The sequence below is a fragment of the Homo sapiens genome, chromosome 15, assembly GCF_000001405.40.
Source record: "Homo sapiens chromosome 15, GRCh38.p14 Primary Assembly".
NCBI classification, from domain to species: domain Eukaryota; kingdom Metazoa; phylum Chordata; class Mammalia; order Primates; family Hominidae; genus Homo; species Homo sapiens.
Window position 1 is genome coordinate 40,652,594 of NC_000015.10, and position 25,256 is coordinate 40,677,849.

Sequence of the window (25,256 nt, forward strand, 5' to 3'; positions counted from 1 at the left end):
ACCCCATCTCTACTAAAACTACAAAAAATGAGCTGGGCATGCACCTGTAATCCTAGTTACTCGGGAGGCTGAGACAGGAGAATCATTCGAACCCAGGAGGTGGAGGTTGCAGTGAGCCAAGATCGTGCCACTGCACTCCAGCCTGGGCAACAGAGCAAAACTGTCTCAAAAAAAAAAAAAAAAAAGAATGAGGCCCTAACAAGTTAATTGGAAGTTCTGTGTGTATAGGTGGGTTTATCATCTAAAAGGATAAAATCACTATATAGGGTGGAAATCACTATATGGTAACTGGACAGAGGCCCAGCTGTTTTGTTGGAGTTTACTAGTTGTCAGTGTCTTTTAGGTATTTTCTCTTTAACCAGTCAGCGTCAACATGGCCAACCATGGGCAAACATGGCCGTATTGGAACGTAGGATCTTCACAATCTCTGGGCCTCTAAACCTGATTCTCCTTGAAAGTTTCTTTTCTCAATGAATAGCGTTACCTTCTGTCCAGGTCCAAAATTAAAACTTAGGAATCACTCTATACCTCTTTCTCCCTCGCTGTACATATTCAAATCATCAGTAAGACATGCTTTTTGTTTTTATTTATTTATTTTTATTTATTTATTTTTTTGAGACAGTCTCACTCTTCCACCCAGGCTGAAGTGCAGTAGTGCAATCTCTGCTCACTGCAACCTCTGCCTCCTGGGTTCAAGTGATTCTCCTGCCTCAGCCTTCCAAGTAGCTGGGATTACAGGCATGCGCCACCACACCCGGCTAATTTTTTTATATTTTGTGGGGATGGGGTTTCACCATATGTGTTGTCCAGGCTGGTCTCAACTCCTGGCCTCAAGCGATTTGCCCACCTTGGCCTCCCAAAGTGCTGGATTACAGGCATGAACCACAGCGCCCAACCTACTGGTTTTAATTTCTTAATATTCATCCACTGTTTTTCATCTGTTCTGTCAATAATCATCTCTAACCTAGATGACTACAGTAACATTCCAACTGGACTTTATGGATCTTCTCCTCCTCCTCCCTGAAGCTATAGTGATTACTGAAAATCTGACTATGCACCTATTACTCTTAGGCTAATGATCAAAGTATTTGATCTAGCCTATGAAGCGTTGCCTGAATTGAATTTTTCTCCTTTTCCTATCTCATACTACCTTCCTACCTCTGCACGTTGGCCACAGTGGACTTCTTTTATTTCCTTAAATGATCATGGTGTTTCCTGCTCAGCCATATTCATCCTATCTCAACACCTTCATGCTGATGTTTCTTATGCCCGAACGCTGTTTTCCCCCACTTCACTAATGAACTCCTACTAATAATTGTAAGAGCTCAGCTCTCAGTGATCAGTTTCTCACCCTTCTGTTGTATGTTCTTGCTTTCTGTGGTTTTCCTTAATAGTGCTTATCATAGTTTGTAGTTCTTGCTGTGTTTATTAGTGCAGTTGTGTGTCTCCCTGAGTTGTAAGCTTGAGGGCACAGGTTGAGTATGCTGTTTTTCTCATGGTATCCACAGTGCCTAACACATAGAAAATATGTAACAAAGCATTCAATAAAGAGAAAATAATCAATTCAGGAGACAGTTAACTCTAGAGTCTGGGGGAGCGAGCAGCTATCTCAGCTACCTAAAATGTATTATAGCAATGCTAAAAGCATAACTCATTTTTACTGTATTTATACAATGATAGGAGTTGTAGAGAGATGATAGCCATTTTCCTTATATGATTGCTGAAAATAAAATTATCTTTGCACAGAAGTTAGGGGTTAAAAGAGGAGGCCTTAACAAATATAGCTGTGTACTACCTTTTAAATGTCCTTCAAAGACATACCAATCAATGTAGTTGAACAGTCTCAGGGGAGCCTTTACTAGATACAGAGAATAATGATTCAAGGATAACCCTTCAACTTCCTGTGGAAAAAACTCTGCTACACAGAAGGAGTAGGATTCTAAAGTACTGAGTTTTATGTGACTTCAAATCAGGTAGTTTAAAAAAAAAAAAAAGGCCAGGCACGGTGGCTCATGCCTGTAATCCCAGCACTTTGGGAAGCTGAGGTAGGCGGATCACGAGGTCAGGAGATCGAGACCATCCTGGCTAACATGGTGAAACCCCGTGTCTACTAAAAGTACAAAAAATTAGCCAGGTGTGGTGGCGGGCGCCTGTAGTCCCAGCTACTCAGGAGGCTGAGGCAGGAGAATCGCTTGAACCTGGGAGGCTGAGCTTGCAGTGGGCCAAGACTGCGCCATTGCACTCCAGCCTGGGAGACAAAGTGAGACTCTCTGTCTAAAAAAATTTTTAAAAATCATTATTCTGGTTCTTTCTAGTTGGTTTCCCTTTCCTGGACAAGCGTTATAGGAAGATTGTTGATGTCAATTTTCAATCTCTGTTAGATGGTAAGTAGAAAACATTTAAGCCTCTAAAAATTTGTTGGGGCTGGGCACTATGGCTCATGCCTTTAATCCCAGCACTTTGGGAGGCTGAGGCGGGTGGATCACCAGGGGTCAGGAGTTTGAGACCAGCCTGACTAACATGGTGAAACCCCGTCTCTGCTAAAAATACAAAAACTAGCCGGGTGTGATGGTGCCCTCCTGTAGCCCTAGCTACTCAGGAGGCTGAGACAGGAGAATCACTTGAACCTGGGAGGTGGAGGTTGTGGTGAGCCAAGATTATGCCACTGCAGTCCAGCCTGGCAACAGAGTGAGACCTTGTCTCAAAAATAAAAAATAAGGCTGGGCACGGTGGCTCATGCTTGTAATCCCAGCACTTTGGGAGGCCGAGGAAGGCAGATCACAAGGTCAGAGGCTCGAGACCAGCCTGGCCAACATGATGAAACCCATCTCTACTAAAAATACAGAAATTAGTTGGGCGCGGTGATGGGTGCCTGTAATCCCAGCTACTCAGGAGTCTGAGGCAGGAGAATCGCTTGAACCTGGGAGACGGAGGTTGCAGTGAGCCGAGATTGCGCCACTGCACTTCAAGCTGGGTGACAGAGCAAGGCTCCATCTCAAAAAAAAAAAAAAAAAAAAAGATTTAAAAAAAATTATTACATGCCGGGCATGGTGGCTCACGCCTGTAATCCCAGCACTCTGGGAGGCCTAGGCGGACGGATTACAAGGTCAGGAGATCGAGACTATCCTGGCTAACACGGTGAAACCCCGTCTCTACTAAAAAATACAAAAAAATTAGCCGGGCGTGGTGGCTGGCGCCTGTAGTCCCAGCTACTTGGGAGGCTGAGGCAGGAGAATGGCGTGAACCCGGGAGGCGGAGCTTGCAGTGAGCCGAGATCGCGCCACTGCATTCCAGCCTGGGCGACAAAATGAGACTCCGTCTCAAAAAAAAAAAAAAAAATTATTACTGGGTCTTGAGCAATGATTAATAGTAGCTATTTTCATAATTTAAAAATTACTGTTATGAGCACTTAGTCTGTATCAGGCATGTGTATTACTTAAATTAACACTATGAAGTCCATGCGATTTGTTCCCCATTTTACAAATTAGGAAACTACAGATCAAAAAACTTAAGTATTGTGTCTAGGATCACTTAGGTATTAAAGAAAGCCAGGATTGCTGGGTGCCGTGGCTCACACCTGTAATCCCAGCACTTTGGGAGACCAAGGCGGGCGGATCACTGGAGGTCAGGAGTTCAAGACCAGCCTGGCCAACATAGTGAAACCCTGTCTCTACTAAAAATACGAAGAAATTAGCTGGGCATTGTGGTGTGTGCCTGTAGTCCCAGCTACTCGGGAGGCTGAGGCAGGAGAATTGCCTGAATCCGGGAGGCGGAGGTTGCAGTGAGCTGAGATCATGCCACTGCACTCCAGCCTGGGCAATAGAGTGACACTCCGTCTCAAAAAAAGAAATGAAATCCAGGATTTAAACTCAGGTCTGTGTTACATGTAAACCCACACTCTTACTCAAGTACTGTTTCTATATGTGATAAAGTCTTGAGTTTTTGTAGAAATGTCCTATCTTCACCATACATGTTATAATCATGTTTGAAAATAAAAATGGAGAGAATACATCTGGGCATGGTGGCTCATGCCTGTAATCCCAGCACTTTGGGAGGCCAAGGCGGGTGGATTACCTGACATCAGGAGTTCAAGAGCAGTCTGTCCAAAATGGTGAAGCCCCCTCTCTACTAAAAATACAAAAAGTAGCCGGGTATGGTGGCAGACGCCTGTAATCCCAGCTACTCAGGAGGCTGAGGCAGGAGAATTGCTTGAACTGGGAAGGCAGAGGTTGCAGTGAGCCAAGATCACGCCATGGTACTCCAGCCTGGGTGACAGAGGGAGACAGGAGACTCCAGAAAAAAAAAGAAAAAGAAAAAATGGAGAGAATACTTATGTACCTGGTAGTTTGAGAATATTTCTAGCTTATATAATATAGTATTTTTCACTTATATAAAATATATGAATCATAAGTAATAACCTGCTTTTGCTTTTTTTTTTCCTTCCCCAGAGGATCAAGCTCCTCCTTCCTCCCTTTTAGTTCATAAGCTTATTTTCCAGTACGTTGAAGAAAAGGAATCCTGGAAGAAGACATGTACAACCCAGCATCAGTTACCCAAGGTAAAGCCCGATTGAAGTATTTAAAGGAAAATTTGTGATATCTTTCCAAAAAAAGCAGAACTGAAACTTTACATAAATAATAGTGGATCCTGAAATGATAAATGTATTCAATTGTTTAACTTTTTTGAGTTCTTTGTAAGTGAGCCACTAAGCATTGAAATGTTTTCATAATTTCACTGGATTTTTTTTCCCACTTTTTCTAGATGCTTGAAGAATTCTCACTGGTAGTGCACCATTGCAGACTCCTTGGAGAGGAGATTGAGTATTTAAAGAGATGGGGACCAAATTATAACCTAATGAACATAGATATTAATAATAATGAGTAAGTGTATTAGTTCCCAAGGACTGCCATGACAGAGTACTACAAATTGGGTACCTTAACAGGTTCTGGAGGCTGGAGGTCTGAGATTAAGGTGTAAGCGGGTGTTATTCTTTCTGAGGGCTGTTAGAATCTGTCCATGCCTTCTCCCAGTGTCTGGTGGTTTGCTGGCAATCTTTGGCATTCCTTGGCTTGTAAATGCATAACCTTGATCTCTCCCTTCATGTTGACATGGTGTCTTTCATTGTGCATGTCTGCATCCACATTTCCCCTTTTTATAAGGACACTAGTCATAGTGGATTAGGGGCCCACCTTACTCTAGTAGGACTTCATCTTAACATATTACTTGTGTAGTGACCAGATTTCCAAATAAGGTCACTTTCTGAGGTATTGGGGGTTTGGAATTCAACATATGAATTTTGGGAAATACAGGTCAACCCAACAGTAAGTACTTGGTCAGCAGTTTATTAAATGAATATATATATATAGTAAGTTCTTGGTCAAGTTGGTCAACAACTTGGGTGCAGTGGCTCACTCCTGTAATCCCAGCACTTTGGGAGGCCGAGGTGGGCGAATCACAAGGTCAGGACTTCAAGACCAGCCTGGCCAATATGGTGAAACCCCGTCTCTACTAAAAATACAAAAATTAGACAGGCATGGTGGTGGGCGCCTGTAGTCCCAGCTACTCAGGAGGCTGAGGTAGGAGAATCACTTGAACCCAGGAGGCGGAGGTTGCAGTGAGCTGAGATTTTGCCACTGCCCTCCAGCCTGGGCACAAAGAGACTCCATATCCTCACACCTGTAATCCCAGCACTTTGGGAGGCTGAGGCAGGTGGATCACGAGGTCAGGAGTTCAAGACCAGCCTAGGCAAGATGGTGAAACCCTGTCTCTACTAAAAATACAAAAAATTAGCCGGGCACGGTGGCAGGTGCCTGTAATCCCAGCTGCTTGGGAGGCTGAGGCAGGAGAACCGCTTGAACTTGGAGGATGGAGGTTGCAGTGAGCCGAGATCACGCCACTGCACTCAGCCTGGGTGACAGAGTGAGACTCCATCTCAAAAAAAAAAAAAAAAAAAGAGAGAATCTGTCTCAAAAAAAAAAAAAAAAAAGAAAGAAAGAAAAGAAATAATATATACCTAAGTTGGACATGCCAGTGTGAAAAGAAAATGAAATTGGGCTGGGACGGTGGCTCACATGAGCCTGTAATCCCAACACTTTGGGAAGTGAGGCAGGTGGATCACTTGAGGTCAGGAGTTCAAGATCAATGTGGCCAACAAGGTGAAACCCCATCTCTACTGAAAATACAAAAATTAGCTGGGCCTGGTGGCACACACCTGTAGTCCCAGCTAATCAGGAGGCTGAGGCAGGAGAATCGCTTGAACCTGGAAGGTGGAGGTTGCAGTGAGCCGAGATTACTCCACTGCACTCCAGCCTGGGTGACAGAGCGAGACTCCATCTCAAAAAAAAAAAAAGAAAAAGAAAAGAAATAATGTATGCCTAACTTGGACATGCCAGCGTAAAAATAAAATGAAATTGTGCTGGGACAGTGGCTCACTCCTGTAATCCCAACACTTTGGGTGGTGAGGCAGGCGGATCACCTGAGGTCAGGAGTTTGAGGCCACATTGGCGAAACCCTGTCTCTACTAAAAATACAAAATTTAGCTGGATGTGGTGGCAGGCACCTGTAATCCCAGCTACTTGGGAGAATCGATAGAACTTGGGAGGTGGAGGTTGCAGTGAGCCGAAATTGTGCACTGCACTCCAGCCTGGGCGATAGAGCAAGACTCCGTCTCAAAAAAAAAAAAAAAGAAATTGTGTTTCATGCTATTATTTGTTGCATTTTTAATTGTGGATCTTGTCTTTTACAGATTGAGACTTTTATTCTCTAGCTCCGCAGCATTTGCAAAGTTTGAAATAACTTTGTTTCTCTCAGCCTATTATCCATCTGTACCATTACCTTCCACCATTCAGAATCACGTTGGGAACACTAGGTGAGTAAAGGGCCAACAGGGTAAGACTCTGGGCTACTTCTTTTTTTTTGAGATGGAGTCTGGCTCTGTTGCCCAGGCTGGAGTGTAGTGGCGCAATCTCGGCTCACTGCAACCTCTGCCTCCCGGGTTCACGCCATTCTCCTGCCTCAGCCTCCTGAGTAGCTGGGACTACAGGCGCCTGCCACCGCACCCGGCTAATTTTTTGTATTTTTAGTAGAGACGGGGTTTCACCATGGTCTCGATCTCCTGACCTCGTGGTCCGCCCACCTCGGCCTCCCAAAGTGCTGGAATTACAGGCTTGAGCCACCGCGCCCAGCAAGGACTACTTTTTAATGTTCATTTTATTTGAAAGATTCCTCAAAGTGGTCAGCAAATTAGTGGACCATAGTGAGAGCTAAACTTCAGTTCTCTTGAGTTCATTTTGAAGAATTTATGTGTGTGTGTGTGTGTGTGTGTGTGTGTGTGTTTGAGATGGAGTCTCACTCTGTCACCAGGCTGGAGTGCAGTGGCACGATCTCGGCTCACTGCAACCTCTGCCTCCTGGGTTCAAGTGATTCTCCAGCGTCAGCCTCCTGAGTAACTGGGACTTAAAGGCAAGCGCCACCACACCTAGCTAATTTTTGCATTTTTAGTAGAGATGGGGTTTCACCATGTTGGCCTAGGTGGTCTTGATCTCTTGACCTCGTGATCTGCCCACCTCAGCCTTCCAAAGTGCTGGGGATTACAGGCGAAGAATTTTTTCTTAAAGTTATTGACCTTCATTGCTATCTCCAGTGGATGCTGGAGACCACTGGTCTATTCTTTTGTACCTGCTTCACTTTTTGAATACTCCAACCTAAAACATGAATCAAGAAGGAAAAAACTCACCATTAGCTTAGTACAGATGATATGTAAACAACTTTTATGGCCTTAAAAACAGAGTCAGCCGGGCACAGTTGCTCACACCTGTAATCCCAGCACTCTGGGAGGCCGAGGTAGGTGGATCACGAGGTCAGGAGTTCAAGACCAGCCTGGCCAAGTTGGTGAAACCCCGCCTCTACTAAAAATACAAAAAATTAGCCAGGCGTGGCGGTGGGCGCCTGTAATCCCAGCTACTGGGGAGGCTGAGGCAGAGAATTGCTTGAACCCAGGAGGTGGAGGTTGCAGTGAGCCGAGATTGCACCACTGCACTCCAGACTGGGAGACAAAGCGAAACTCCGTCTCAAAAAAAAAAAAAAAAAAAAAGTGCAGGATACGATGGCTCACGCCTTTAAGCCCAGCACTTTGGGAGGCTGAGGTGGGCGGATCACTTGAGCTTGGGAGTATGAGAATAGCCTGGCCAACATGGCGAATCCCCACCTCTACTAAACATACATAAATTAGCTGGGTGTGGTGGTGAGTAGTCCCAGCTAATCTTGAGGCTGAGGTGGGAGGATTGCTTGAGCCTGGGAGGTGGAGATTGTGGTGAGCCAGGATCATGCCACTGGCCTCCAGCCTGGGTGACAGAACCAGGCTCTCTCAAAACAAAACAGAGTCTGTGGAACCAGCCCTAAAAATGTTTCATTCCTCCTAGACTGTGACGTATTTTGTGACTTTTTAGATGCACTGCTGACAGATTGGAAGATAACAGAGTTAAAAATGTGCTCACCTAGGCCGGGCATGGTGGCTCATGCCTGTAATCCCAGCACTTTGGGAGGCCAAGGTGGGCAGATCACTTGAGGCCATGAGTTTGACACCAGCCTGGCCAACATGACAAAACTCTTTGTTTTTGACTGGGCGTGGTGGCTCATGCCTGTAATCCCAGCACTTTTGGAGGCCGAGGTGGGTGGATCATGAGGTCAGGAGTTCAAGACCATCCTGGCCAACATGATGAAACCCCATCTCTACTAAAAATACAAAAAAATAGCCAGGCGTGGTGGCAGGTGCCTGTAATCCCAGCTACTCGGGAGGCCGAGGTAGGAGAATTGCTTGCACCCAGGAGAAAGAGGTTGCCGTGAGCCTAGATTGTGCCACTAACTGCACTCCAACCTGGGCAACAGAGCAAGACTCTGGGGGTGGGGAAAAATTTGCTCACCTTATATTTGTCAGCAAACACCAAGACTAAGATTTTTTATGACCAACAAAAGTAGCTAGGTTAAGATACTTCACAATTACATATAGAATTGGTTCTTAGGCCCTGTTTTGGAATCCCATTTCAAACTGGATATCTGGTTATTTCCAGAAATGCTCATTTGTGCTTCCTAGGAAACTGAGAGACCAAGAACATAAATTCCACTGAATTAGAGACAAGTGTAAGATTTTTTAAAAAATTGATTAACCTGGCTGGGCGCGGTGGCTCACGCCTGTAATCCCAGCACTTTGGGAGGCCGAGGTGGGTGGATCACAAGGCCAGGAGATCGAGACCATCCTGAGTAACACAGTGAAACCCCATCTCTACTAAAAATACAAAAATTAGCCGGGCGTGGTGGCAGGCGCCTGTAGTCCCAGCTACTCGGGAGGCTGAGGCAGGAGAATGGCATGAACCCGGGAGGTGGAGCTTGCAGTGAGCGGATTGCGCCACTGCACTCCAGCCTGGGCGACAGAGCGAGACTCCGTCGCAAAAAAGAAAATTGATTAACCTTTGTTCTTTCCAGCCAAGATGATATTGCTACCATTCTATCTAAAGTGCCACTGGAGAACAACTACCTGAAGAATGTAGTCAAGCAAATTTACCAAGATCTGTTTCAGGACTGCCATTTCTACCACTAGACCCTTGGACCACCATTGGAACAACCAAGCAGAATGTACTTGATATTATTTCAGGGTCCCATTGCTGTTCAGCCTTTGTTTTTACGTCATTACAAGCTGAGTAAAATTCCTTCTGATGATGTTATAGTTAATCTGTATGTTTTTTATATCTCTGCAGAATGATGGTGATGAAGTCTGGATGGTAGGCCTCATAGCCTACTATCAACTTACTCATCTTTGTACCAAAGGTTTAAGTAATAGGACACTTAGGAAAAATGTCTCCTAACTAAACTAGTGCTTTCTGCTTTAGTACAAGCCCTAAGGATTAACTTAAGTATAAGAAGTGTTATCACTGACAAGAACATTAGCCATTTTCCCATAACTAGATAGAGCTATGATTTTTTAGGTTGCCTGGCTTCTGCCTAGCAGATATTTCTGGAGTAGAAATGTATCTGTCTACAAACTATTATCCTTTTTCTCCGTTACTAAAATGCTATTAAGAGAAAGTAGGGCTGGGTGCGGTGGCTCACACCTGTAATACCAGCAGTTTGGGAGGCCAAAATGGGTGAATAGCCTGAGTCCAGGAATTCAAGACCAGCCTGGGCAACATGGCAAAACCCCACCTCTACAAAAAATACGAAAGTTAGCCAGTCATGGTGGCTTGCGCCTGTGGTCCCAGCTACTTAGGAGCTTAAGGCAGGAGGATCACTTGAGCCCAGGAGGCAGAGGTTGCAGTAAGCCGAGACCATTCCACTGCACTCCAGCCTAGGCAACAGAGCAAGACCCTGTCTCAAAAAAACAAAAAGAGAGAAAGCAATAGCACTCAGCTATTGAAATGGTTGCCATCTTTTTTTGAAGGCCTTGCTTTTTATTCTATGGTGTCTATTATGTTTTCTTTTTCTTTTTTTTTGAGACGGAGTCTTGCTCTGTCGCCCAGGCTGGAGTGCAGTGGCATGATCTCAGCTCACTGCAAGCTCCGCCTCCTGGGTTCACGCCATTCTCCTGCCTCAGCCTCCCGAGTAGCTGGGACTACAGGTGCCCACCACCATGCCGGGCTAATTTTTTGTCTTTTTAGTAGAAATGGGGTTTCACGATGTTAGCCAGGATGGTCTCGATCTCCTGACCTCGTGATCCGCCTGCCTCGGCTTCAAAGTGCTGGGATTACAGGTGTGAGCCACCACACCCAGCAATGTTTTCTTAATAAGTATAGTTTTTCTAGGGAAAGTTAATTCATTTTTGTCTAGTACATATATGTAAATATATTAATGTTGTTTTTGTGTTTGTGATGTAGTAAGGAGATGTACATAGAAATTCATTGAGGTATATAGATACTCATCTGTCTAGGCAGTTCCCAATTTTCTGAAGAATGTTTTACAGCAAAATTTTCTATTTTCTTTTATTAAATAGTGACACGTCAAACAATGTCACATCCAAAACACTAGTTTCATCAATTTCTAGCAGTAATAATAGACTTGCTGTAAGTATTGTTTTCTGATGCCATACCCTTGTCATACATATTATTAAATGACCAATATTATGTATGAAGTAGACAAAAAAATTTACTCAAACTTCATTCAAATCCTAATTGTGATAATTTTTGTTTTATATTTAATTATAAACCAAAATACATTTGCATTTTTAAGCTAATTTGTCTCAAAATTTTGCTTTATATTTTTGGATCAGGTTAAAGTCCTGTGGATCCCCTGAATGTTATTGTCCCTCTTGATTGGTTTTTACTTCTGAGCTATACGTCAAAAGACACATAAGCTTCAAAAGTCAAGACAAACCTCATTTGCCATAAAAATCAAGATATAGATGTTCTGTTCCGTAAACTCCTTGAAAAACATTTTAAAGTCATCAATATGATCTGTTTCCCATGAAACTTAAGTTAGCTTTCTTATTGGAGTTATTTCTTTTCTGTAAGTCTGAAAAGTAGAGATTTTGTTTTACGCATTTTAGTAACCTGCAACAACCAACTCTAAAAAAGATTTGGCTTGTAATGACGGTCTCTGCTTTTTTGGGTTTGGAGTACACAATTGTAATATTTACTTAGTTATTTGTGTTTTTCTTTGTTCAAGGTATTGACTAGTTTCATAAATTTTTTGAAAGTTTTTCTTTCATTGGTTGGAAAGCAGATTACATTTTGCACTATTAAAATAAGTTTATTACTTTAAATCTTTTGTGAGTAGTGTTTCTTTATAAAGAATATTTTAGCATTTATCCAATAGACCTTTGAAGATATACCAAAGAAACCTTCCTCTGGAGACACCTACCTATTCAAAACTGAGATTAGGCCGAGTTCAAGCAGGGTGCTTCAGGCCAAGAATTCAAATCCAGCCTACACAACATAGCAAGACCCTATCTCTAAAAAATTTTTTTTTCTTGGCTGGGCATGGTGGCTCATGCCTGTAATGCCAACCCTTCGGGAGGCTGAAGTGGGCAGATCACCTGAGGTCGAAAGTTTGAGACCAACCTGACCAACATGGAGAAACCGTGTCTCTACTAAAAATACAAAATTAGCCAGTCATGGTGGCACATGCCTGTAATCCCAGCTACTTGGGAGGCTGATGCAGGAGAATTGCTTCAACCCGGGAGACAGAGGTTGCAGGGAGCCGAGATCGCACCATTGCACTCCAGCCTGGGCAACAAGAGTGAAACCCCCATCTAAAAATTAAAAAATAAAAATTTTTCTTGTTTTTGAGATGTGGTCTCACTATGTTGCCCAGGCTGGTCTCGGACTCCTGGGCTCAAGAGATCCTCCCATCTCAGCTTCCCAAATTGCTGGGATTATAGGTGTCGGTCACTGCACCCAGTTTGCTATTCTTTTTCTAACTTCTTGTGATGGTAGGTACCTAGCTCATTTATTTTCATTCTTTTTTTTTTGAGACGGAAGTCTTGCTGTGTCACCCAGGCTGGAGTGCAGTGGCCTATCTCGGCTCACCAAAACCTTCGCCTCCCAGGTTGAAGCGATTATCTTGCCTCAGCCTCCTGAGTAGCTAGGATTACAGGCGTGCACCTCCACACCCAGCTAATTTGTGTATTTTTGGTAGAGACAGGGTTTCACCATGTTGGCCAGGCTGGTTTCAAACTCCTGACCTCAGGTGATTCATCCACCTCGGCCTCCCAGAGTGCTGGGATTACAGGCATGAGCCACTGTGCCCAGCCTATTTTCATTCTTTTAACAAGTACTTATGATATATTTCTTTTCTTTTCTTTCTTTCTTTTTTTTTTTGAGGTAATCCATCTGCCTCTGTATCCCAAAGTGCAGGGATTACAGGCGTGAGCCACCATGCCTGGCCCCATATATTTGTTTCTAAGTAATGTTGTTTATCACTCATTCTTCTCCTAATCTGTTTTTTTTTTTTTGTTTTTTTTTTTTTTTTTAATATTTATGTCTTTTTTTGTTTGTTTGTTTGAGAGGCCAAGTCTCACTATGTTGCCCAGGCTGGTCTCAAACTCCTGAGCTCAAATGATCTTCTCGCCTCAGCCTCCCAAAGGGCTGGAATTACAGGCCTGAGTCATTGTGCCCAGTCTCAAATATATATGTCTTTTTTGGTCAATAAGAAAGTGAGATTATTACTGTTTCTTAGAACATGACTTCATAACAGAGCTCAGCCCCAAAGATCCAGATCAGACTTGAAGAACAAGAGTTTGAAGGTGATTGCTCCACAAATAAAAAATACTTGTGGGGCAAGAGATTGATTCCAGCATTAATATGTTTGCTTCTAAAATTTTTTCTTTCTTTTTTTTAGACAGGGTCTCTCTCTGTCACTCAGGCTGGAGTGCAGTATCACGATCATGGCTTACTGCAGCCTTGACCTCTCTGGGCTCAAGCGATCCTACCATATCAGCCTCTCGAATGGCTGGGACTACAGATGCACACTACCACCCCCAGCTAATTTTTGTGGAGATGTGATTTCAACATGTTGCCCAAGATGGTCTCAAACTCCTGGCTCAAGTAATCCACCCACACTGGCCTCCTAAAGTGCTGGGATTACAGGTGTGAGCCACCACAGCTGGCCTAAAATTTTCTTCAGTTCTAAAGTTTGTGAAAAGCAACAGTAAGGCTGGGCACGGTGGCTCATGCCTGTAATCCCAGCACTTTGGGAGGCCGAGGTACAAAGATTTCATGATATATAAACTGATTCTGTCTAAAATCTGTTTTTATGCTAAACTTAGTATCACATATAATTATTTTTAAAAATTTTTAATCACCTTATGTTATCCTATACTAGATTTTATTCATTCTATCTAACTGTATTTTTGTGCTTCATCACTTGAGGTCGGGAGTTCAAGACCAGCCTGGCCAACATGGTGAAACCCCATCTCTACTAAAAATACAAAAATTAGCTGGACGTGTTGGCACATGCCTGTAATCCCAGCTACTTGGGAGGCTGAGGCAGGAGAATTGCTTGAACCTGGGAGGCGGAGGTTGCAGTGAGCTGAGATGGCGCCACTGCACTCCAGCCTGGGTGACAGAGTGAGACTCCATCTCCAAAAAAAAAGAAAAAGGAACGTAAATAACAAATCAGACTGAGCCTGGTAGGACCTATAGCTGAGATTAATTACACTCACAGCTGAAGAAGGTTTTTAGACTGAATGACAGAATAAATCCCAAGTGGCAAAAATATACATTTCACTCCTTTAAAAATATTTCACCAGAAATATTTAGGGAAAAAATCATGATGTAAGATATTTTAATCCCCAGGAAATGGCTGGGCGCAGTGGCTCACGCCTGTAATCCCAGCACTTTGGGAGGCCAAGGCGGGCGGATCACGAGTTCAGGCGTTTGAGACCAGCCTGACCAACATGGTGAAACCCCGTCTCTACTAAAAATACAAAAATTAGCCGGGCGTGGTGGTGCGCGCCTACGTCCCAGTTGCTCAGGAGGCTGAGGCAGGAGAATCGATTGAACTCGGGAGGCAGAGGTTGCAGTGAACTGAGATCGCTGAGGTTTGCCACCACAGTTGTCTATGGGTAAATACACAGATTTCACAATGCATAAGCAGATTCTGTCTAAAATATTTTCCTGGGTCAAACTTTACTGGAGCTCTGTAAGGTGTTCAGACTGGCACTAACCAAACACAAGAGACTTCTACATAGCAATTCTTATCTAGTGTAACATAAACACCATCACAGCATTTTATTAATTGTTATTAATGAAACCTTAACACATTTATCCATATACTTTATTGTAAACACAACTGACATTCACATTACCATAAGAGCATTATTGCAGGAATCAATGTTATGAGAAAGCAATTGCTATGATTTGAATGTTTTGTCCCCTCCAAAACTCTTGAGACTTAATCCCCAGTCCGCCAATATTGAAATGTGGGGCCTTTAAGAGCTGATTCAGTCATGAGGGCTGTACCCTCATGAAATGGATTAATGTGTTACTATGGGAGTGGGACTGGTGGCTGTTTCAGAAGAGGAAGAGAGGCTGGCCAGGTGCAGTGCCTCACACCTGTAATCCCAGCACTTTGGGAGGCTGAGGTGGGCAGGTCACATGAAGTCAGGAGTTTGAGACCAGCCTGACCAACATGGTGAAACCCCATCTCTAATAAAAATACAAAAATTAGCTGGATGTGGTGGCACCTGCCTGCAGTACCAGCTACTCAGGAGGCTGAGGGAAAAGAATTGCTTGAACCCCGGAGGTGGAGGTTGCAGTGAGCTGAGATCACACCACTGCACTCCAGCCTGAACGACAAGAGCAAGACTCCATTTCAAGAAAAAAAAAGGATGAGAGAGCCAGGTACGGTGGTTCACACCTGTAATCCCACCATTGTGGGAGGCCGAGGAACGGGTTGGGGGATCTCTTGAGCTCAGGAGTTTGAAACTAGCCTGGGCAACATGGCAAAATCCCATCTGCACAAAAAATACAAAAATTAGCAGGGCATGGTGGTGCATACCTGTGGTCCCAGCTTCTTGGGAGGCTAAAGTGGGGATATCACTTGAGCCCAGGAGGCAGAGGGTGCAGTGAGCCAAGATGATGCCGCTGCACTCCAGCTTAGATGAGAGTGAGACCCTGTCCCCCACAAAAAAAGAAAAAAAAAAAGAGGAAAAGAGACTTGAGCTAACACTCTCAGCTCCCTCGACCTGTGGTGCCCTCTGCCAACAGGCACCCCATCAGAGTCCCTATCAGCAAGAAGGCCCTCATCAGATGTGTCTCATCAACCTTGGACTTCTCAGCCTCCAGAACTGTAAGAAATACATTTTTGTTTCTTTATAAATGACTTGAGTTTTAGGTATTCTGTTACAAGCAACAGAAAATGGACTAAGATGGAAAATATTGTTGTCCATGGCTAAGTACAAAGATTTCATGATATATAAACTGATTCTGTCTAAAATCTGTTTTTATGCTAAACTTAGTATCACATATAATTATTTTTAAAAATTTTTAATCACCTTATGTTATCATATACTAGATTTTATTCATTCTATCTAACTGTATTTTTGTGCTTCTTCACTATCCACACTCGCCTCCATCCCCATTACCCTCCCAGTCACTGGTAACCACCATTCTATTGTCTTTTTCCATGAGTTCAATTATTTAAATTTTATTTAATTAATTAATTTTTTATTTTTTGAGACAGAGTCTCACTCTGTTGCCAGGCTGGAGTGCAGTGGCATGATCTTGGCTCACTGCAACCTCCACCTCCCAGGTGCAAGCAATTCTCCTGTCTCAGCCTCCCAAGTAGCTAGGACTGTAGGCACCAGCCACCACACCCAGCTAATTTTTTGTACTTTTAGTAGAGACGGGGTTTCACCATGTTGGCCAGGATGGTCTCGATTTCTTGACCTCGTGATCCACCTGCCTCGGTCTCCTAAAGTGCTGGGATTACAGGCATGAGCTACCGCTCCGGGCCTCAATTATTTAAATTTTTAGCTCCCACAAATAAGTGAGAACATGTAAAGTTTGCCCTTCTGTGTCTGGCATATTTCATTTACTGTAATGACCTCCAGTTCCATCTATGTTGTTGCAAATGACAGGATCTCATTCTTCCTTTTGGCCGAATAGTACTCCATTGTGTGTATGTACCACATTTTCTTTATCCGTTCGTCTGTTGATGGGCACTTAGGTTCCTTCCAAATATTGTCTATTGTGAACAGTGCTGCAATAAACATGGAAGTGCCGATACCTCTTTGATACACTGATTTTCTTTCTATTGGGTATACCCCTAGCTGTAGGATTGCTTGATCATATGATAGCTCTATTTTTAGTTTTTTGGTGTTTTTTTTTTTTTGAGATGGAGTCTCACTCTGTCACCAGGCTGGAATGCAGTAACGTGATCTCGGCTCACTGCAACCTCTACCTCCCATGTTCAAGCGATTCTTCTGCTTCAGCCTCCCAAGTAGCTGAGACTACGGGTGCGCACCACCACGCCCAGCTAATTTTTGTATTTTTAGTACAGATGCGGTTTCACCATGTTGGCCAGGATGTTCTCGATCTCTTGACCTCATGATCCGCCTGACTCGACCTCCCAAAGTGCTGGGATTACAGGCGTGAGCCACTGCACCCGGCCTATTTTTAGTTTTTTAAGGAACCTCCGAAGTGTTGTACATAGTAGTTATACTAACTTTCATTCCCACCAACAGTGTACAAGGGTTCCCTTTTCTCCAGATCCTTGCCAGCATTCATGCCTGTCTTTTAGATAAAAGCCATTTTAACTGAGGTGATATGATTCTTATTGCAGTTTTGATTTGCATTTCTCTGATGGTCAATGATGTTGAGTACTTTTTCATATGCCTGTTTGCCATTTGTATGTCTTTTGAGAAATGCCTATTCAGATTTTTTGCCCATTTTTAATTGGATTATTAGATGTCTTGTCTATTGAGTTGTTTCAGCTCCTAATATATTCTGGTTATTATTATTATTATTGAGATGGAGTCTTGCTCTGTTGCCCAGGCTGGAGTGCAGTGGTGCAATCTCGGCTCACTGCAACCTCCACCTCCTGAGTTCAAGTGATTCTCCTGCCTCATCCTCCCAAGTAGCTGGGACTACAGGTGCATGCCACCAGGCCTAGCTATTTTTTTGTATTTTTAGTAGAGAGGGTTTCACCGTGTCAGCCAGGATATTCTTGATCTCCTGACCTTGTGATCCACCTGCCTCAGCCTCCCAAAGTGCTGGGATTACAGGCATGAGCCACTGTGCCCAGCCTGGTTATTATTATTATTATTATTATTATTATTATTATTATTATTTGAGACAGAGTCTCGCTCTGTTGGCCAGACTGGAGTGCAGTGGCATGATCTTGGCTCACTGCAACCTCCACCTCCCAGCCTCAAGCAATTTCCCTGCCTCAGCTTCCCAAGTAGCTGGGATTACAGGTGCACACCACCACACTCAGCTAATTTTTTTTTTTTTTTTTTTTTGTAGAAATGGGGTTCCATCATGTTGGCCAGGCTGGTCTTAAACTCCTGACCTCAAGTGATCCACCTGCCTCAGCCTCCCCATGCGCTGGCATTACAGGCATGAGCCACCACACCCAGCCTATATTCTGGTTATTAATCCCTTGTCAGATGGATAGTTTGCAAATATTTTCACCCATTCCGTGGGTTGTCTCTTGACACTTTGTTGATTGTTTCCTTTGCTGTGCAGAAGTTTTTTAATTTGATGTGATCCCATTTGTCCATTTTTGCTTAGGTACCTGTTTTAATAGTTTCAAAGTTTGAGGTCTTAGATTTAAATCTTTAATCCATTTTGATTTGATTTTTGTATATGGTGAGAGATAGGGGTCTAGTTTCATTCTCATACATATGGATATACAGTTTTCCCCACCCCTTTTATTGAAGAGAGTGTCCGTTTTCCAGTATATGTTCTTGGCAGCTTTGTCAAAATGAGTTCATTGTAAATGTATGGATTTATTTCTGAGTTCTCTATTCTGTTCCATTGGTCTATGTGTCTATTTTTATGCCACTACCATGCTGTTTTCAATATTATAGCTCTGTAATATAATTTGAAGTCAGAAAATGTGATTCCTCCAGTTTTATTCTTTTTACTCAGGATAGCTTTGGTTATTCTGGATCTTTTCTGGTTCCATATACATTTTAAGTTTGTTTTTTCTATTTCTGTGAAGAATGTCATTGGCATTTTGATAGTGATTGCATTGAATCTGTAGATTGCTTTGGATGGTATGGACATCTTAACAATATTTATTCTTCCAATCCATGAACATGGAATAGCTTTCCTTTTTATGTGTCCTTTTAAATTTCTTGTATCAGTTTTTTTTTTTTTTTTTTGAGACGGAATCTCACTCCATCGCCCAGGCTGGAGTGCAGTGGCATGATCTCCATTCACTGCAAACTCCGCCTCCCGGGTTCACGCCATTCTTCTGCCTCAGCCTCCTGAGTAGCTGGGACTACAGGTGCACACCACCACATCCAGCTGATTTTTGTATTTTTAGTAGAGACGGGGTTTCACCATGTTGGCCAGGATGGTCTCGATCTCCTGACCTCATGATCCACCTGCCTCGGCCTCCCAAAGTGCTGGGATTACAGGCGTGAGCCACCACGCCCGGCCGTGTCAGTGTTTTATAGTTTTCATTGCAGAGATTTTTCACTTCTTTGGTTAAGTTTATTCCTAGGTATTTTATTTTATTTGTAGCTATTGTAAATGGGATTACTTTCTTGATTTATTTTTCAGATGCTCATTGTTGGCATATAGAAATGTTGCTGCTTGGCCGGGCACAATGGCTCATGCCTGTAATCCCAGAACTTTGGGAGGCCAAGGTGGGCGGATCATGAGGTCAGGAGTTTGAGACTAGCCTGACCAACATGGTGAAACCCTGTCTCTATTAAAAACACAAAAGAATTAGCCAGGCATGGTGGCACACGCCTGTAGTCCCAGCTACTCGGGAGGCTGAGGCAGCAGAATCACTTGAACCCAGGAGGCAGAGGTTGCAGTGAGCTGAGATTGCACCACTGCACTCCAGCCCGGGCGACAGAGCAAGACTCCATCTCAAAAATAAATAAATAAATACAAAAATTATTTGGGTGTAGTGGCACATGCCTGTTATCCCAGCTATTTGGGAGGCTGAGGCTGGAGAATCACTTGAACCCAGGAGGCAGTGGTTGCAGTGAGCCGAGATCGCGCCACTGCCCTCCAGCCTGGGTGACAGAGCGAGATTCCATCTCAAAAAAAGAGAAAGAAATGCTGATGCTTTTCGTATGTTGATTTTGTATCCTGCAACTTTACTGAATTTGTTTATCTTTACTGAATTTGAGTTTTTTGGTGGAGTCTTTAGGTTTTTCTAAATATAAAAGCCTATCATCTGCAAACAGAATAATTTGACTTCTTCCTTTTCAATTTTGGGTTCCCTTTATTTCTTTCTTTTTTCTGATTGCTATAGCTAGGACTTCCAGTGCTATGTTGAATAACAGTGCTGAAAGTGGGCATGCTTGCCTTGTTCTAGATCTTAGAGAAAAGGTGTTATCAAAACACCAGGTGTTAGGCCGGGCACAGTGGTTCACACTTGTAATCCCAGCACTTTGGGGAGCTGAGGCGGGTAGATGACTTGAGTAGCTGAGATTACAGGCATGTGTCACCACACCTGGCTAATTTTTGTATTTTTAGTAGAGATGGGGTTTCCCCATGTTGGCCAGGCTGGTCTTGAACTCTTGACCTCAGGTGATCCACCTGCCTCAGCCTCCCAAAGTGCTGGGATTACAAGTGTGAACCACTGTGCCCGGCAGTAGGATGAGTTTGGAAGTATTCCCTCGTGCTTTATTTTTTGGAATAGTTTGAGTAAGATTAGTATTAATTCTTATTTAAATGTTTGGTAAAACTCAGCAGTGAAGCCATTGGGCCCCAGGCATTTCTTTGCTGGGAGAATTTTTATTATGGCTTTGATCTCATTACTTGTGATTGGTTTGTTCAGGTTTTGAGTTTCTTCATGGTTCAATCTTGATAAGTGGTATGTGTCTAGGAATGTATTTGTTTCTTCCAGATTTTCCAATGTATTGGCATATAGTTGTTCATAGAAGCCACTAACAATCCTTTGAATTTCTTCTGTATCAGTTGTAATGTCTCCTTTTTCATCTCTGATTTTACTTACCTGGTTCTTCTCTCTTTTTTTTTCTTTTTCTTTTTTTTTTTTTTTTTAGATGGGGTCTCACTCTATCGCCCAGGCTGGAGTGCAGTGGTGCGATTTCGGCTCACTGCAAACTGTGTCTCCCGGGTTCACGCCATTCTCCTGCCTCAGCCTCCTGTGTAGCTGGGACTACAGGTGCCCCCCACCACGCCTGGCTAATTTTTTTTGTATTTTTAGTAGAAACGGGGTTTCACCGTGTTAGCCAGGATGGTCTCAATCTCCTGACCTCGTGATCCGCCCACCTTGGCTTCCCAAAGTGCTAGGATTACAGACATGAGCCACTGTGCCCGGCCTTCTCTCTTTTTTTCTTAGTCTGGCTAAAGGTTTGTCAGTTTTATCTTTTCAAAAAAAAAAAACAACTTTTTGTTTTGTTGATTTTTGTATTGTTTTCATTTCAAATTCATTTATATCTGCTCTGATACTTATTATTTATTTTCTTTTCCTAATTGTGGGTTCAGTTTGCTCTTACTTTTCCAGTGTCTTTTTTTTTTTTTTTTTTTTTGAGACAGAGTCTTGCTCTTTTGCCCAGGCTGGAGTGCAGCGGCACAATCTCGGCTCACTGCAACCTCTGCCTCCCGGGTTCAAGGGATTCTCCTGCCTCAGCCTCCCGAGTAGCTGGGATTACAGGCATATGCTATCATGCCCAGCTAATTTTTGTATTTTTAGTAGACATGGGGTTTCACGATGTTAGCCAGGCTGGTCTTGACCCTTGACCTCAGGTGATCCACCTGCCTTGACCTCCCAAAGTGCTGTGATTACAGGCCACCGTGCCTGGACATTACTTTTCCAGTTCTTTAAGATGTATCATCAGGTTATTTACTTGAAGTTTTTGTTATTTTTTGATGTAGGCACTTATAGCTATACATTTCCCTCTTAGTACTGCTTTTACTGTATCCCATAGGTTTTGGTATGTTATGTTTCCATTATCATTCTTTTCAATAAATTTTTCAATTTCCTTCTTAATTTTTGCATTGACCCACTGTCAGGAGCATATTGTTTAATTTCAATGTGTGTGTATATTTTCCAAAATTCCTGTTGTTATTGAGTTCTAGTTTTATTCCAATGTGGTCAGAGAAGCTGCTTGATATTATTTCAATTTTTTGAATGTTTTAAGACTTGTTTTGTGTTTTAACATACGGTCTATCCTTCAGAATGATCCATGTGCTGAGGAGAAGAATGTGTATTCTGCAGCCATTGGATGAAATGTTCTATAAATATCTATTAGGTCCATTTTTTCTATAGTGCACATTAAGTCCAATGTTTCTTTGTTGATGTTCTGTCTGGGAGAAAAAGAGTCTAGGAGATCTGTCCAATGCTGAAAGTTGGGTGTTAAGGTGTCCAGCTATTATTGTATTCAGGTCTATCTCTCTCTTTTGCTCTAATAATATTTCCTTTTTTTAAATCTGAGTGCTTTAGTGTTGGGTGCATACATACTAATAATCATTATCTCCTCTTGCTGAATTGGCACCTTTATCATTATATAATGACCTTCTTTATCTATTCTTACAGTTTTTGTCTTGAAATCTATTTTGTCTGATGTAAGTATAGTGACTTGTTCTCTTTTGGTTTCCATTAGCATGGAATATCTTTTTCCATCCCTTTGTGTTAAGTCTATGTGCATCTTTATAAGTTAAATGTGTCTCTTGTACACAAGAGATCATTGAGTCTTGTTTTTTTATCCATTCAGCCACTCTGTGTCTTTTGATTGGAGTGTTTAGTCCATTTACATTCAATGTTATTGGTAAGTAGGGACTTACTCTTACCTTTGTTTTCTGGTTGTTTTGTGATCTTCTCTTCCTTTTTTCCTAACTTCCTGTCTTCCTTTTAGCGAAGGTAATTTTCTCTGGTGGTATGCTTTAATTTCTTGCTTTTTATGTCTCATGTATCAATTGTATGTTTTTCTATCTGAGGTTACTATGTGGCTTGCAAATACTGTCTTACAACTCATTATTTTAAGTTGATGACAACATTGATTGCATATACAAACACACAAAAAGAAAGTAATTTCCCTGCTTTTTAACTTTTTGTTTCTCTTTGTCTCATTGTACTATCCATGTCTTGAAAAGTTGTAGTTAAGGCCAGGCATGGTGGTTCACACCTGTAATCCCAGCATTTTGGGAAGCCAAGGTGGGTGGATCACGAGGTCAGGAGTTCAAGACCAGCCTGGCCAAGATGGTGAAATCTCATCTCTACTAAAAATACAAAAATTAGCCACGTGTGGTGGTGGGTGCCTGTAATCTCAGCTACTTGGGAGGCTGAGGCAGAGAATAGCTTGAACCTGGGAGGCAGAGGTTGCAGTGAGCTGAGTTCGCGCCACTGCATTCCTGCCTGGGTGACAGAGTGAGACTCCATGTCAAAAAAAAAAAAAAAGAAAGAAAGACAAGAAAAAAAAAGAAAAGTTATTTTTGATTGGTTATTTAGTCTGTTTCACTCTTATTACCAGGCTGGAGTACAATGGCACAAAATCAGCTCACTGCAACCTCTTCCTCCTGGGTCCAAGCAATTCTCCTGCCTGAGCTTCCTGGGTAGCTGGGATTACAGGAGCCCACCACCACGCCTGGCTACTTTTTTGTATTTTTAGTAGAGACAGGTTTTCCCATGTTGACCTGCGTGGCCTTGCACTCCTGACCTCAGGTTATCCACCCGCCTCCGCCTCCCAAAGTGCTGGTATTACAGCCATGAACCACCTAGCCTGGGTCATTAGTCTTTCTACTTAAGACAAGAGTAGTCTACATACCACCATTACAATCTTGAAATCTATTTTGTCTGATATAAGTATAGCAACTCCTGTTCTCTTTTGGTTTCCATTAGCATGGAATATCTTTTTCCATCCCTTTGTGTCCGGAATTGGTGGGTTCTTGGTCTCACTGACTTCAAGAATGAAGCCACAGATCCTCGCAGTGAGTGTTACAGCTCTTAATGTGGCGCGTCTGGAGTTTGTTCCCTCTGATGTTCGGATGTGTTCGGAGTTTCTTCCTTTTGGTGGGTTCGTGGTCTCACTGGCTCAGGAGTGAAGCTGCAGACCTTCACGGTGAGTGTTACAGCTCATAAAAGCAGTGTGGACCCAAACACTGAGCAGTAGCAAAATTTATCGCAAAGAGCAAAAAGAACAAACATCCACCATGTGGAAAGGGACCCGAGCAGGTTGCCACTGCTGGCTCAGGCAGCCTGCTTTTATTCTCTTATCTGGCCCCACCCACACCCTGCTGATTGGTAGAGCCAAGTGGTCTGTTTTGACAGGGTGCTGATTGGTGCGTTTACAATCCCTGAGCTAGACACAAAGGTTCTCCACATCCCCACCAGATTAGCTAGATACAGAGTGTCGATTGGTGCATTCACAAACCCTGAGCTAGACACAGGGTGCTGATTGGTGTGTTTACAAACCTTGACTAGATACAGAGTGCCGACTGGTGTATTTACAATCCCTGAGCTAGACATAAAGGTTCTCCAAGGCCCCACCAGAGTAGCTAGATACAGAGTGTGGATTGGTGCACTCACAAACCCTGAGCTAGACACAGGGTGCTGATTGGTGTATTTACAATCCCTGAGCTAGACATAAAGGTTCTGCACCTCCCCACCAGACTCAGGAGCCCAGCTGGCTTCACTCAGTGGATCCGGCCCAGGGGCTGCAGGTGGAGCTGCCTGCCAGTCCTGCGCCCTGCGCCCGCACTCCTCAGCTCTTGGGTGGTCGATGGGACTGGGCGCCATGGAGCAGGGGGCGGTGCTCATCAGGGAGGCTCGGGCGGCACAGGAGCCCACGGAGCGGGTGGGAGGCTCAGGCATGGCGAGCTGCAGGTCCCGAACCCTGCCCCGCGGGAAGGCAGCTAAGGCCCGGCGAGAAATCGAGCGCAGCGCCGGTGGGCTGGCACTGCTGGGGGACCCAGTACACCCTCCGCAGCCGCTGGCCCGAGTGCTAAGCCCCTCATTACCTGGGGTCGGCAGGGCCGGCTGGCTGCTTCGAGTGCGGGGCCCGCCAAACCCTCGCCCACCCGGAACTCCAGCTGGCCCGCAAGCGCCGCACGCAGCCCCGGTTCCCGCTCGCGCCTCTCCCTCCACACCTCCCTGCAAGCTGAGGGAGCCGGCTCCGGCCTTGGCCAGCCCAGAAAGGGGCTCCCACAGTGCAGCGGCAGGCTGAAGCGCTCCTCAAGTGCCGCCAAAGTGGGAGCCCAGGCAGAGGAGGCGCCGAGAGCGAGCAAGAGCTGTGAGGACTGCCAGCACGCTGTCACCTCTCACCTTTATGTTAAGTCTATGTGCATCTTTATAAGTTAAATGTGTCTCTTTGTTAAATGTGTCTCTGCTTTTTGTGTGTGTGCTTACTATTACCAGTGAGTTCTGTACCTTCAGATGATTTCTTTTTCCTTTTTTTTTTTTTTTTTTTGAGACAGTCTCTGTCGCCCAGTCTGGAGTGCAGTGGTGCGATCTCGGCTCACTGCAACCTTCAACTCCTGGGTTCAAGTGATTCTCCTACCTTAACCTCCTGAGTATCTGGGATTACAGGCACCCGCCACCACACCCAGCTACTTTTTGTATTTTTAGTAGAGACGGGGTTTCACCATGTAGACCAGGCTGGTCTCAAACTCCTGACCTCA

At 43.8% G+C, this 25,256-nt stretch overlaps 1 protein-coding gene across 2 annotated transcripts in view, besides 1 other annotated feature; it reads left to right on the forward strand.

Moving 5' to 3' along the window:
• KNL1 (kinetochore scaffold 1) overlaps positions 1 to 11,749 on the forward strand; it is a 70,094-nt gene extending 58,345 nt beyond the window's left edge. For both annotated transcript variants that reach the window (NM_170589.5, NM_144508.5), the window contains 5 exons: positions 2,316 to 2,384; positions 4,449 to 4,558; positions 4,762 to 4,880; positions 6,746 to 6,868; positions 9,481 to 11,749. In NM_170589.5, coding sequence (NP_733468.3) covers positions 2,316 to 2,384; positions 4,449 to 4,558; positions 4,762 to 4,880; positions 6,746 to 6,868; positions 9,481 to 9,595 — 536 coding nt within the window. In that variant the 3' untranslated portion in view covers positions 9,596 to 11,749. The remainder of the gene's footprint in view (positions 1 to 2,315; positions 2,385 to 4,448; positions 4,559 to 4,761; positions 4,881 to 6,745; positions 6,869 to 9,480) is intronic.
• Positions 23,705 to 23,905: a silencer, noted in NCBI's record as "peak2302 fragment used in MPRA reporter construct". NCBI's record gives its function as "represses an SCP1 promoter by STARR-seq MPRAs in K562 erythroleukemia cells {active_cell/tissue: K562}" and the evidence as "EXISTENCE:reporter gene assay evidence [ECO:0000049][PMID:32103011]".